General features: G+C 46.0%; 1 protein-coding gene and 1 pseudogene across 2 annotated transcripts in view; both read right to left on the bottom strand.

Moving 5' to 3' along the window:
* RIMKLB (ribosomal modification protein rimK like family member B) overlaps nucleotides 1–12,430 on the bottom strand; it is a 114,454-nt gene extending 102,024 nt beyond the window's left edge. Inside the window, exon 1 of one of the 2 annotated variants that reach the window (XM_047429188.1) lies at nucleotides 12,237–12,430. The gene's annotated coding sequence lies outside the window, so the exon portion shown is untranslated. The remainder of the gene's footprint in view (nucleotides 1–12,236) is intronic. The other variant, XM_047429197.1, reaches the window with a different exon arrangement.
* On the bottom strand, nucleotides 1,151–2,454 carry LOC101060064 (Fanconi anemia core complex-associated protein 24-like; annotated as a pseudogene).
* Nucleotides 12,431–12,648: the final 218 nt, after the last annotated feature.

The following is a 12,648-nucleotide window of genomic DNA, read 5'->3' as shown; positions in this document are numbered from 1 at the left end:
GATCATTTGAGCCCAAGATTGTGCCACTGCACTTCTGCCTGGGTGACAAAGTGAGACCCTGTCTCAAAAAAAAAAAAAAGACCAGACCTGAAGAACAGCAGCTCTGACCCCAGGAACAAGGGGCTTGTAATACACAATGCTTCATTGTAAGTTTGTTTCCTTTAGATGGATCTTTTAGATGTAGCACACAAAACTTTTTAGAAGACCTTTCCGTAATAGATGAAGGTCAAGGTCACACATTAAAATCTGCCGTAATTGGCATTTTGCTGGGAATGAGAGTCCCTGGCTGTCTCAGGAAGATCTCTAGCGACGCTTTTCATCTTAACTGAATGAGGCAGTGCCCTCTGCAGTCCAATAACTTCAATGCCTGAACCCAGACAGTATAGCGGTGTTACAGGAAAGGGGTCCCCATCCAAACCCCCGGAGAGGGTTTTTGGATCTCGCGCAAGAAAGAATTCAGGGCGAGTCCACAGTGCAAAGCAAAAGCAAGTTTATCAAGAAAGTAAAGGAATAAAAGAATGGCTACTCCAAAGACAGAGCAGCCCCGAGGGTGACTGGTTGCCCAATTTTATGGTTATTTCTTGATGCTATGCTAAATAAGGGGTGGCTGGCTGGGCGCGGTGGCTCACGCCTGTAATCCCAGCACTTTGGGAGGCTGAGGCAGGCGGATCACGAGGTCAGGAGATGGAGACCATCCTGGCTAACATGGTGAAACCCCGTCTCTACTAAAAATACAAAAAAAGATTAGCCGGGCGTGGTGGCGGGCGCCTGTAGTCCCCAGCTACTCGGGAGGCTGAGGCAGGAGAACGGCGTGAGCCTGGGAGGCGGAACTTGCAGTGAGCCGAGATCGCGCCACTGCGCTCCAGCGTGGGCATCAGAGTGAGACTGTCTCAAAAAAAAAAATAAGGCGTGGCTTATTTATGCCTTCCCTTTTTTTGACATATAGGGTAACTTCCTGATGTTGTTATGGCGTTTGTAAACTGTCATGGTGTTGGTGGGAGTGTAGCAGTGAGGAGTACCAGAGGTCACTCTCATGTCCATTTTGGTTTTGGTAGGTTTTGGCTGGCTTCTTTACTGCAACCTGTTTTATCAGCAAGGTCTTTATGACCTGTATTTTGTACTGACCTCCTGTCTCATCCTGTGACTTACAATGCCTTAACCATCTGGGAATGTAGACCCGTAGGTTTCAACCTCATTTACCCAGCTCCTATTCAAGATGGAGTTGCTCTGGTTCACATGCCTCTGACAGCAGGATGACTCGCAGGCTTCGCTCAGGCCTCACCTCATCTTTCACTAGTTGCTGTGAGAAGAAATCTTTTTCTTGGTTTTTAAATATGAATACAAGACCTTATTGTTCGTGGTCTAAAAGAGAATACATAGTAGATAAGAGGCCGTGCATCACTTGGACTGTGTGAAGAAGGCAAGGATTTGCTGTGCTACCTCTTGTCCAAAAAGCTGCTTGAGTTCTCAGATGGAATCATTACTCAGTTCCTGGGTACTTGGAAACTTCTGAAGCAAAAGGAAGGCTTTAACTTTTCCAACTCCTGGAATCTGCTGCACATTTCAAAGAAGGAATGGGCTGGGCGCACTGGCTCATGCCTGTAATCCCAGCACTTTGGGAGGCCCACACGGGCGGATTACTTGAAGTCAGGAGTTCAAGACCAGCCTGGCCAAAATGGTGAAACCCCATCTCTACTAAAAATACAAAAATTAGTCAGGCACGTGGTGGTGGTGGCGGGTGCCTGTAATCCCAGCTCCTCAGGAGGCTGAGGCAGGAGAATCACTTGAACCGAGAGGGGGAGGTTGCAGTGAGCCAAGATCATGCCACCACTGCACTCCAGCCTGGATGACAAAGTGAGACTCCGTCTCAAAACAAAAACAAAAACAAAGAATAAATGGCTCAGAAAACAGAGCCCCTTTCTTCCTGAGAAATGATTTTTCCAGAGCTCTTTGGTTTGCTCTTCAATTCACCGGATGGTGAGGCAGGATGCTTCCATCTGGCTGGCCATCCCAAGGTAAAGCACAGTGAACTTCTGTATGGCTGGAAAGTATTGCTCACTCAAATGAGTTTTTTCAACGAATACAACCCCTTGAAGATTACTGGAATTCCTAACCTGACCAAGCCTCTTCATGTAGCTATTATCTGGCTACTGAATCATCTTCAGTGACATAAAGAATGCAGAATCTGCTAAATAGGTAAAAATCTGATGTCAGATCATCCTGAAAAATGAGCTTAATTTTCCTTTGCATCCCCTGCACCAGCTGGAATCCATGCCATTTCTCAGTGACCACAATGAGGGAAATGCAAGACAGAACTTGAACAGTCTCTCCTGAACACAGCCCCGCATTCCAGAAGTTAGGGCCTCTGGCAGCATCTTGTCTGCAGAGCATTCTTTCAAAGACTGAAATTATTTGCCAATGTCTTAGACATAAGAAAGACCACTGGGCGCAGTGGCTCATGCCTGTAATCCCAGCACTTTGGGAGGCCGAGACAGGCGGATCACCTGAAGTCGGGAGTTCGAGACCAGCCTGACAAACATGGAGAAACCCCGTCTCTATTAAAAACAAAATTAGCAGAGCGTGGTGGTGCATGCCTGTAATGCCAGCTACTCGGGAGGCTGAGGCAGGAGAATCGCTTGAACCCGGGAGGCGGAGGATGCGGTGAGCCAAGATCTCACCATTGCACCCCAGCCTGGGCAACGAGAGCGAAACTCCATCTCAAAAAAAAAAAGAAAAGAAAAAAAGAAAGACCGGCCAGGTGTGGCGGCTCACACTTGTAATCCTAGCACTTTGGGAGGCCAACGTGCGAGGATCACTTGAGTCCAAGAGTTCGAGACCAGCCTGGGTAACATAGTGGGACCCTGTCTCTATTTTTAAATTAAAAAAAAATTTTTAATTAAAAAAAAGAAAAATAAGAAAGACTTCTGAGCTTTTGAAGAACTGCAAGTAATTCAGTATGGCTAAAAAACAAGGGGCAAGGCTGGGTTTGTGAGCATGGTGGTTTACACCTGTAATCCCAGCACTTTGGGAGGCTAAGGTGAGCTGATTGTTGAGTCCAAGAGTTTGAGACCAGCCTGGGAAACATGGCAAGATGCTGTCTCTACAAAAATAAATAAATAAATAAATAAATAAATATAATAAAAATAAATTAGCCAGGCATGGTGGCGCATGCCTGTAGTCCCAGTTACTTGGGAAGCTGAGGTGGGAGGATCACCTGAGCCCAGGAGGTGGAGGTTCCAGTGAGCCGAGACTGTGCCACTGCACTCCAGCTTGGGTAACAGAGTGAGACCCTGTCTCAAAAAAAGAAGAAAAAAAAAAAGGGCAAAGGTTCTGGGGTGGGTGGGTTGGAGCTCTGATGACACAACATAAAAATATTATGAATAGCTATGTATGTCATGCTAAGGAGTTTCGTCCGCATCCTAAGGATAATGAAGAGTCTTTATAGTTTTTAAGCCAGGGAATGACTTAATCAGATTAGTGCTAAAGAGATTACTCTGGCTGCTTTGTATCACAAAGATGGGGAAGTGTGGATGGGAACTGGGGGATCACTTAGGACTCTGTTAAGAGTAATGACTGAACAGAGCTGAAGCCGTGTGGAAAGAATAGAGGATGGATGGATTTGAACAATATTAAGGAGGTAGGCTCAATGGGATTTTGGTGATTAAGGGTGTGGTGTGTGTGATAAAGGGTGTGGTGTATGTGCTGGGACTCAAGTTAGGCAAAGAGAGAAACTGAGGAAAATGAGGATGATTCACACATATTTCAACTGTGTAACTTAGTAGATCATGGCACCAGTTTAGCTGAGGGTGGGGGTGCACTGTGCGGGAAGATGACAATTCTGTCCCAGACATGTTGAGCTATTAGGGATTTAGCTTGCTCAACATTTATCCACACTTTTTCCTTGAGCTTTTCCTGTACTACAGGTGGTGGAAAACGAAAAACTACATATTCAAGACTCTCCTACAGCTAGAGTTTGAATGTGATTTAGATTCCAGACTGTATACCCTAGAATGAGACTTGAATTAAAAACCAAGCTCAGTGAGAACAGCAGCAAGGAGTGAGCATCTGATTTCTTGGTGTGGACTATAGCACGGCCAGGGTGGCTCTCATGCCCGAGTGGTGACATTCCAATTTTGGAAGGTGGCCCCTAGATGGTGGAGAAGCAATAGAGTCCCTTGGTAGTCACTCCTGGGGGCTCAGACTAGAGTGTTTCTTTAGCTTTTCCCCTTCCTGAGTCGGTTTCCTGTAATTAAAGCCTGTCTGACTCAAGGTGCCTATGGGATGTTCAAACAATGATGTGCTATTGCATATTCAGACTTAGAGTTGAGGACATAGATATGTAAAAATAAATATAATTTAAAAGCTGTTGGGCTGCATGTGGTCGCTCACACCTGTAATCCTAGCACTTTGGGAAGCCGAGGCGGGTGGACCACTTGAGGCCAGGCGTTCAAGACCAGCCTGGCAAACATGGTGAAACCCCGTGTCTACTAAAAATACAAAAATTAGTCAGGTGTGGTGGTGCACACCCGTAGTCCTGGCTACTCAGGAGGCTGAGGCAGGAGAATCACTTGAACCCGGGAGGCAGAGGTTGCAGTGAGCCGAGATTATGCCACTGCACTCCAGCCTGGGCAACAGAGCAAGACTCTGTCTCAAAAAAAAAAAAAAAAAAAAAAAAAAAAAAAAAAGCTGTTGGGGGTTGAGCACAGTGGCTCACTCCTATAATCCTAGTACTTTGGGAGGCCAAGACTGGGGGATCACTCAAGCTCAGGAGCTCGAGACCAGCCCAGGTAACATGGTGAAAACCTGTCTCTACAAAAAATACAAAAAATTAGCTGAGTGTGGTGGTATACGCTTGTGGTCCCAGCTACTGGGAGAGCTGAGGTGGGAGGATAGCTTGAGCCCAGGAGGTCGAGGCTGCAGTGAGCCAAGATCACGCTACTGCACTCCAGCCTGGGTGACAAAGTGAGACCCTGTCTCAAAAAGAAAAGCTGTTGGAACCCCCCAAAACATTTAAACCTTGACAGAGATGAGATTGATCTGAGTCACATATGGCTATAGCATGTTTCTCAGATTATAGATTAACTTGTTTTCTTATTTTTCTTGTCCTGCACAATGACTAGAGAAAATTTAACGACGTCAGGGACAAAAACCTCCTGCCTTCTTAATTAATGACCTTTGTTACAGATTAACTTTTTCTTTGTTGTTCTGCCTTGCTTAGACCAGATGACAGAAAACCCATGACTATTACACTTCCGTTAAAAAAAAAAAAAAAGAAAAACAAGAAAACAACTATATGTACTCTCCCAAAAAGAAACACTTTTATAACCAATCAGTTTGCTATAACTATGTGCCAACCTTGTCTAAAAAAAGTTGTAATCCTGCTAAAGGCTCCTCTGTCTATATAAATGAACCCTTAACTTCCTGACTTCACAAAGCTGACTTCCTTCTTTTGGAGTTGATGTTTCCACTCTTTGTACCAGAATAAACTGTTTTGAAATTAGATCTTGACCCTTTTGATTATTTTAGGTGATAGATAGAGGTTAGACTGAAGCATAGATCTGGGAGAATAAACCAATAGATGGTAAATGAAGAGTTGGGAGTGGATTAAGGAGAGGGAGAAAGTACAGTAAAAAGAGAGGTGGCCGGGCCAAAACCTTGAAAACCAGCACTTAAGAGTAAACAGAAGAAGAAGAAAAAAGAAATGTAAAAGAACAGTAGAGAGGTGTTAAGAGGAAGACAAGGACTGTGATATTATAGATGTCAAGAGGAGGGGACATTTCAAAAGTAGGGACTGGTCAGCAATGACTAATGTTTCAGAAAATAAGAAAATAAGACTGAAATGTGTCTGTATTATTCAGCAACAAAGAGGTTCTTCTGTGACAGCTTTTCTTAAAATTGTGAGAAAAGGGCCAGGTGTGGTGGCTTACGCCTATAATCCCAGCATTTTGAGGCCAAAGTGGGTGGATCACCTGAGGTTGGGAGTTCAAGACCAGCCTGGCCAACATGGTGAAACCCTGTCTCTACTAAAATACAAAAATTAGCTGGGTGTGGTGGCAGGCACCTGTAATCCCGGCTACTCGGGAGGCTGAGGCAGGAGAATTGCTTGAACCCAGGAGGTGGAGGTTGCAGTGAGCCAAGATCGTGCCATTGCACTCCAGCCTGGGAGACAGAGCCAGACTCCCTCTCAAAAAAAAAAAAAAAAAAGAATTGTGACAAAAGGCTGGACGCAGTGGCTCATGACTGTAATTCTAGTACTTTGAAAGGCTGAGGTGGGCAGATCACTTGAGGTGAGGAGTTCGAGACCAGCCTGGCCAACATGGTGAAACCCCATCTCTACTAAAAACACAAAAATTAGTTGGGCATGGTGTCACATGCCTCTAATCCCAGCTACTTGGGAGGCTCAGGCAGGAGAATTGCTTGAATGTGAGAGGCAGAGGTTGCAGTGAACTGAGATATCGCCACTGCACTCCAGCCTAGGCAACAGGGCGAGACGCCGGACCCCTGGTCCCATAAAAAAGGAAAAAAAAAGGGCTGGGCGCGGTGGCTCACGCCTATAATCCCAGCACTTTGGGAGGCCGAGGCAGGCGGATCACAAGGTCAGGAGATCGAGACCATCCTGGCAAACACGGTGAAACCCCATCTCTACTAAAAATACAAAAAAATTAGCAGGGCGTGGTGGCGGGCACTTGTAGTCCCAGCTACTCGGGAGGCTGAGCCAGGAGAATGGCATGAGCCCGGGAGGTGGAGCTTGCAGTGAGCCGAGATCAGGCCACTGCACTCCAGCCTGGGCAATGGAGCGAGACTCCGTCTCAAAAAAAAAAAAAAAAGGAAAAAAAAAAAAAAAAGAATTGTGAGAAGAGGTGAGTTAGGCTTCAGGGAAAGGGCAAAATGTAAATGTTGACTATCTGACACTTAACCCTAGTCTGTTAAAACGATGAGGCTTAACTTCAGAGATGCTGTGGAGGACTAAAGATGACTGCATGTTTGTTTTTTGCCACTCTTCCCAGTAAAAGGTGGAGTTTATTTCTCTTTCCCTTAAATTGGAACCGACCCTGTGGCTTATTTGAACCAACAGAACATGGTGGGGACTTCTGAGACTGTGCCTTAGGAGATGTGATGTTTCTTCACATACTCTCTCAACCCATGATTGTGCTGTCAGAAGGCCAAGTGAGGCCGGGTGCGGTGGCTCACTCCTGTAATCCCAGCACTTTGGGAGGCCAAAGCGGGCGGATCACCTGAGGTCAGGAATTCGAGACTAGTCTGGCCAACATGGTGAAACCCCATCTCTACTAAAAAATACAAACATTAGCCAGGCATGGTGGCACGCACCTGTAGTCCCAGCTACTGGGGAGGCTAAGGTAGAAGAATTTCTTGAACCTGGGAGGCAGAGGTTGCAGTGAGCCAAGATTGTAACACTGCACTCCAGCCTGAGTGACAGAGCAAGACTCCATCTCAAAAAAAAAAAAAGAAGCTCGAGTGAGTTGAGTTGGTGGAGATACTACATGGAAGATAACTGAGGCTTCTGCCAACAACCCTATTTGGGATTCCCACTGGCAGCTAGCACCAACTAGCCATTCAGCCATCCCCGCAGCCCAGCTAACACTATGTAAAGCAGAATTCCTGCCTGATCAACACACAAAATCAAGAAAAATAATCATTATTGTTGTTTTAGTCACTAAGTTTTTGGTGTAGTTTGTTAAATAGCACCATTCAGGGAGTTGAGGAGAATGCTCTTCAAATGGAAAGGTATCAGTGATTCACGAAAACTTGTCAGTAAGGAGTATTTGAAAGACCAGCACTGTACCTCTACCTGTCACTGCTCTCAGCATAGCTCTGTCACTGTATTAGGCTGTTCTTGCATTACTCTAAAGAAATACCCGGTCAGAGGCCAGGCATGGTGGCTCAGGCCTGTAATCCCAGCACTTTGGGAGGCCAAGGCAGGTAGATCACCTGAGGTCAGGAGTTCAAGACTAGCCTGGCTAACATGGTGAAACCCTGTCTCTACTAAAAATACAAAAATTAGCTGGGCATGGTGGCGGGCACCTGTAATTCCAGCTACTCAGGAGGCTGAAGCATGAAAATCTCTTGAACCCGGGAGGTGGAGGTTGCAGTGAGTCAAGATGGCACCACTTAACTCTAAGACTGGGTAATTTATAGACAAAAGAGGTTTAATTGGCTTATGATTCCACAGGCTATACAGGAAGCATAGCGGCATCTGCTTTTGGTGAGAACTCAGGAAGCTTTTACTCATGACGGAAGGCAAAGCAAGGGCAGGCCATTCACATGGTGAAAGCAGGAGCACGGGGAGGCGGGGAGGTAGCACACTTCCAAACAACCAGATCTCATGAGAACTGATATGGTTTGGTTGTGTCCCCACCCAAATCTCACCTTCAATTGCATCTTCCAGAATTCCCATGTGTCATGGGAGGGACTCAGGGGGAGGTAATTGTATCATGGGGGGGTCATCTTTCCCATGCTATTCTCGTGGTAGTGATTAAGTCTCATGAGATCTGATGGGTTTATCGGGGGTTTCCACTTTTGCTTCTTCCTCATTCTCTCTTGCTGCTGCCATGTAAGAAGTGCCTTTCTCCTCCCGATTCTAAGGTCTCCCCAGCCATGTGAAACTGTAAGTTCAATTAAACCTCTTTTTCTTCCCAATCTTGGATATGTCTTTATCAGCAGCATGAAAATGGACTAATACAGTAAACTGGTACCAACAGAGTGGGGTATTGCTGAAAAGACGCCCGAAAATGTGGAAGCAAATTTGGAACTGGGTAACAGGCAGAGATTAGAACAGTTTGAAGGGTTCAGAAGAAGATAGAAAAATGTGGGAAAGTTTGGAACTTCCTAGAGACTTGTTGAATGACCTTGCCCAAAATGCTGACAGCAATATGGACAATAAAATCCAGGCTGTGTGGTCTCAGATGGAGATGAGGAACTTGCTGGGAACTGGAGCAAAGGTAACTCTTGTTATGTTTTAGCAAAGAGACTGGTGGCATTTTGCCCCTGCCCTAGAGATTTGTGGAAATTTAAACTTGAGAGAGATAATTTAGGGTATTTAGTGGAAGAAATTTCTAAACAGCAAAGCATTCAAGAGGTGACTTGGATGCTATTAAAGGCATTCAGGCTTTGTTTTGTTTTGTTTTGTTTTGTTTTGAGATGGAGTCTCACTCTGTCACCCAGGCTGGAGTGCAATGGCGCAATCTCAGCTCACTGCAACCTCTGCCTCCCGGGTTCAAGCAATTCTCCATCTCAGCCTCCCGAGTAGCTGGGATTACAGGCACCCACCACCACACCTGGCTAATTTTTGTATTTTATTAGTAGAGATGGAGTTTCACCATCTTGGCCAGGCTGGTCTTGAACTCCTGACCTCGTGATCCACCCACCTGGGCCTCCCAAAGTGCTGGGATTACAGGTGTGAGCCACCACGCCCGGCCAGAATTCAGTTTTATAAGGAAAGCAGAGCATAAAAGTTTGGAAAATTTGCAACCTGACTGTGCAATAGAAAAGAAAAACCCAGCTGGGTGCGGTGACTCACACCTGTAATCCCAGCACGCTGGAAGGCCGAGGCGGGCAGATCACCTGAGGTTGGGAGTTCAAGAACAGCGTGACCAACATGGAGAAACCCTGTCTCTACTAAAAAATACAAAATTATCTGAGGTGGTGGCACATGACTGTAATCTCAGCTACTCAGGAGGCTGAGGCAGGATAATTGCTTGAACCTGGGAAGCAGAATTTGCGGTGAGCTGAGATCGTGTCATTGCACTCCAGCCTGGGCAACAAGAGCGAAATTCCATATAAAAAAAAAAAGAAGAAAGAAAAGAAAAAACTGTTTTCTGGGGAGAAATTCAAGCCAGCTGCAGAAACTTGCATAAGTAGCAAGGAGCCTATAAGCCCCAAGACCATGGGGAAAATGTCTCCGGGCCATGTCAGAGACCTTCATGGCAGCCCCTCCCATCACAGACCCAGAGACCCAGGAGGAAATTGTGGTTTCATGAGCTGGGTCCAGAGTCTCTGTGCTGTGTGCAGCCTAGGGACTTGGTGACCTGTGTCTCAGCCACTCCAGCCGTGGCTGAAAGGGGCCAACATACAGCTTGGGCTGTGGCTTCGGAGGGTGGAAGCCCCAAGCCTTGGCAGCTTCCATGTGATATCGGGCCTGCAGTTGGACAGAAGTCAAGAATTGAGGTTTGGGAACCTCTGTCTAGATTTCAGAAGATGTATGGAAATGCCTGGATGCCCAAGCAAAAGTTTGCTGCAGGGGTGGGGCCCTCATGCAGAACCTCTGCCAGGGCAGTGCAGAAGGGAAATGTGTGGTTGGAGCCCCCACACAAAGTCCTTCCTGAGGCACTGCCTAGTGGAGCTGTGAGAAGACGGCCATGGCCCCCCAGACCCCAGAATGGTAGATCCGCCAGCAGCTTGCACCTTGTGCCTGGAAAAGCTGCAGACACTCAACACCAGCCTGTGAAAGCAGCTGGAAGGGAGACTGTACTCTGTAAAGCCACAGGGGCAGAGCTGCCCAAGACCATGGGAACCCACCTCTTGTATCACTGTGGCCTGGATGGGAGACCTGGAGTCAAAGAGATGATTTTGGAGCTTTAAAATTTGACTGCTCCACTGGATTTTGGACTTGCATGGGCCCTGTAACCCCTTTGTCTTGGCCAATTTCTCCCACCTGAAACAGCTGTATTTACCCAATACCTGTACCCCATTGTATCTAGGAAGTAACTAGCTTGCTTTTGATTTTACAGGCTCATAGGTGGAAGGGACTTGCCTTGTCTTGGATGAGACTTTGGACTATGGACTTTGGGGTTAATGCTGATATGAGTTAAGACTTTGGGGGACTCTTGGGAAGGCATGATTGGTTCTGAAATGTGAGGACATGAGATTTGGAGAGATCAGGGACAGAATGAGATGGTTTGGCTGTGTCCTCACCTAAATCTCAACTTCGGTGAATTCCCACATGTTGTGGGAGGGACCCGGGGGAGGTAACTGAATCATGGGGGTCTTGATTCCTTCTTTTTTTTTTTTTTTTTTTTTTTTTGAGACGGAGTCTTGCTCTGTCGCCCAGGCTGGAGTGCAGTGGCGTGATCTTGGCTCACTGCAAGCTCCACCTCCCGGGTTCGCACCATTCTCCTGCCTCAGCCTCCCGAGTAGCTGGGACTACAGGCACCCGCCACCACGCCCGGCTAATTTTTTGTATTTTTAGTAGAGACGGGGTTTCACTGTGTTAGCCAGGATGGTCTCAATCTCCTGACCTCGTGATCCGCCCGCCTCGGCCTCCCAAAGTGCTGGGATTACAGGCATGAGCCACCGCACCCAGCCGATTCCTTCTTACTTTCCATGTCTCTTCCTTCTGTCCTGTCCCTTCTCCCTTATCTCTTCTTTATTTTTTCTTTTCATTTCCTTCTTTTCTCTCTGCTTTCCTATGAATGTATTATTTTCCAAAGGAGGTATATAATTTATGTAGCATAATCATACTGTACTTACTTTTTAGCTACCATAGCCTAACACATGACAAATTCTCCATAAATATTAGCCATTATTACTAATTTACATTAATATTTAATATATGAGGTAATTTATAGTATTTCATCTTAATATAACTGTGTTGATACTATATTGTATAATTATTATATACTGCTATGGTTTGGATATGGTTTGGCCCCTCCAAATCTCATGTTGAAACTTGACCCCCAATGTTAGAGGTAGGCCTAGTGGGAGGTGCTTGGATCATGGGGTGAGATCCCTCATAAATGGCTTGGTGTTCTCCCCATAGTAATTAGTGAGTTCTCCCTCTATTAGTTCTTGTGAGAGCTGGTTGTTAAAAAGAGCCTGGCTCCTCCCTCCCCTCTCTCTTGCTTCCTTCCTCTCTTGCCAGCTCCCCTTCCCCTTCATCCATGAGTGGACGAACCCTGTGTCCCTCACCAGAAACAGATGCTGGCACCATGCTTCTTGCACAGCCTGCAGAATCATGAGCCAAATAAACCTCTTTTCTTTATAACTTACCCAGGCTTGGGTATTCCTTTACAGCAACACAAATGGACTAAGAAATATACTATATATAGTTACAAATATATATATATTAAATTTATATAATAGATAAAAATAATCCTGTATTGTAGTTATACAACATATTAGTTATCTATCTAGCCCAAAATTTAACAGCTTAAAACAAAAACATTTATTTTCCCAACGTTTCTGTTGATTAGTAATCCAAACATGACTTAGCTGGGTACCTTTGGCTCAGGGTATCTCATAAGGCTGTCATCAAGGTGTTAGCTGGTGCTGTCATCATCTCAGGGCCCAATTGAGAAAAGATCCACTTCCAAGTTCATGCACGTGGCTTTTGGCAGGCCTTGGGTTGCTGGCTTTTGGCTACAGACATCAGTGCCTTGCCACTTGGGCATCTTAATAAAGCAGCTCACAGCATGGCAGCTGGCTTTGTTCAGAGCAAAGAAGAAAGCAGGAGAGCAAGAGGGAGCACCAAAAATAGAAGCCAGAGTCTTCCTGTTACATAATCTGGGAAGTCACACCCCATTACCTCTGCTATGTTCTATTTGCTAGTAGTACCTAAGATCACACTCAAAGCAGGAGGATCACACAGGGGATGAAGAACGGGAGGTGGGAGGCCAGGCACAGTGGCTCACG

This window comes from Homo sapiens, chromosome 12, assembly GCF_000001405.40.
Source record: "Homo sapiens chromosome 12, GRCh38.p14 Primary Assembly".
Taxonomy (NCBI): domain Eukaryota; kingdom Metazoa; phylum Chordata; class Mammalia; order Primates; family Hominidae; genus Homo; species Homo sapiens.
Note: the sequence above shows the minus strand (reverse complement) of the source record. Positions and strands in the feature narration are given on the sequence as shown.